The 1337-nt window shown below is 64.1% G+C and overlaps 1 annotated feature.

The window, feature by feature from the left end:
• Positions 558–1131: an enhancer, noted in NCBI's record as "H3K27ac-H3K4me1 hESC enhancer chr13:24269883-24270456 (GRCh37/hg19 assembly coordinates)". NCBI's record gives its function as "activates a minimal SCP1, AML or CMV promoter by ChIP-STARR-seq in primed H9 embryonic stem cells {active_cell/tissue: H9 hESC(primed)}" and the evidence as "EXISTENCE:reporter gene assay evidence [ECO:0000049][PMID:30033119]".

The raw sequence follows: 1337 nt of genomic DNA on the forward strand, positions 1-1337 counted from the left end.
AATGCTTGCAGGAAATAAAAGGGGTTTGGTGTTTTTGTTTGAGTTTTCATTTGATTGTTGTCGTGGCAGGACCACCTGGGGAGGCATCCAGGGAAAGTCAGCTGGGGACACTCCAGGCTTGGCTCCTGAGCCCCCTCCAGAAAGGCCTGGGCGGGAATTCCTGTGAGCCTTGCCCGCCGGGTCCCCAGCCGGCGGGCGCCCAGGGCCCTCTCCAGGTAGGGGTGTCGGCCTTGGAGCGCCGGCTCAGAGACAGCCAGCACCTCGCCGGCCACAGCCTTCGCCTCGGAAATGGCCCGGATTGCCTAAGGGGGGGCTTTTCCCGGAGACTCCGCGCTCCACACGCCGCGGGCACAAAGGGCCCTGCGGGGCTGCCAGGGTTCGGGAGGGCCCGGAGCCCCTGCGCGCGCGATTAGACTGGGCATTGGGTTTTTTTCTTTTCAGCAGGTGACCCCGGGGCATTCATCCGACACCAGCCATCTTGGCCTGAAGTGGGCAGAGGGAAAATTTCCTCCCTGCTGTGGCTTCTTCGAGGGCTGTCGGCCGATATTCCCGTGAAGTCCCTGCCAGCTGCTGGGCCGCGTCCGCGCCCCTCCCTGCCGCCAGCACCTTCTCCTGCAGAGGCCGCCCCGCCGCGCTGCTTCCTCATTCAAACCCAGAGCCCTCTGGCAAGGCCGCGCCCGCCCGCTCTCGAAGTGCATATCAGCAGCAGGTGCAGGCCTGTGCCCCCACGGGCGCCTGACCGGGGCCTCTGTGCTGCAGAGCGCAATTTAATCCGGATTCAGTCCAGGCCGAGTGCTGACAAACCTGCCTCCCCCGGGGGTTGGGGCGGCTCAGGCTGTGCGGCAGGAAGTGGCATAGGGCCTGTGCTCAGAGCACCTCTGGGCTCTTGCTCGGCCTGCCGTCACCCTCGGAACTCTTAATACTCTTTTGAACAGGAACCCCACATTTTCATTTCAAATGGGGCCCCACCCATCGCGTCATGGGCCCCTCTAGGGCGAGACGCCAGGCCTCCCCGCCAGCGGGCTGGAAGCATCAGGCCTGCCTGCTCGGAGGGAGAGCAGATCTTCATTTGAGTGGGAGATCGGGGGACTACCAGAGAAGGAGGGGCTGGCCGACAGAGTGGCTGGGGTGCACCATGCGCCTCCGCCCAGGGGCGGTGCGGGCTGAGACATTCTTTCCTTCCTACCTCTTGCTCTTCCCTCCCTCAGCCCAGCCTGCCCTTCTCATTTCACAGCGCTCATCGTGCTTACTGGGACGGGGTCTAAACTGATGCTGGACAGCCTGCCCACGGGAGCTCCCTCACACCCCTGCCCAAGGACGGAATTGGGCCCCAAGTC

The sequence above is a fragment of the Homo sapiens genome, chromosome 13 (genome assembly GCF_000001405.40).
Source record: "Homo sapiens chromosome 13, GRCh38.p14 Primary Assembly".
NCBI classification, from domain to species: Eukaryota; Metazoa; Chordata; class Mammalia; order Primates; family Hominidae; genus Homo; species Homo sapiens.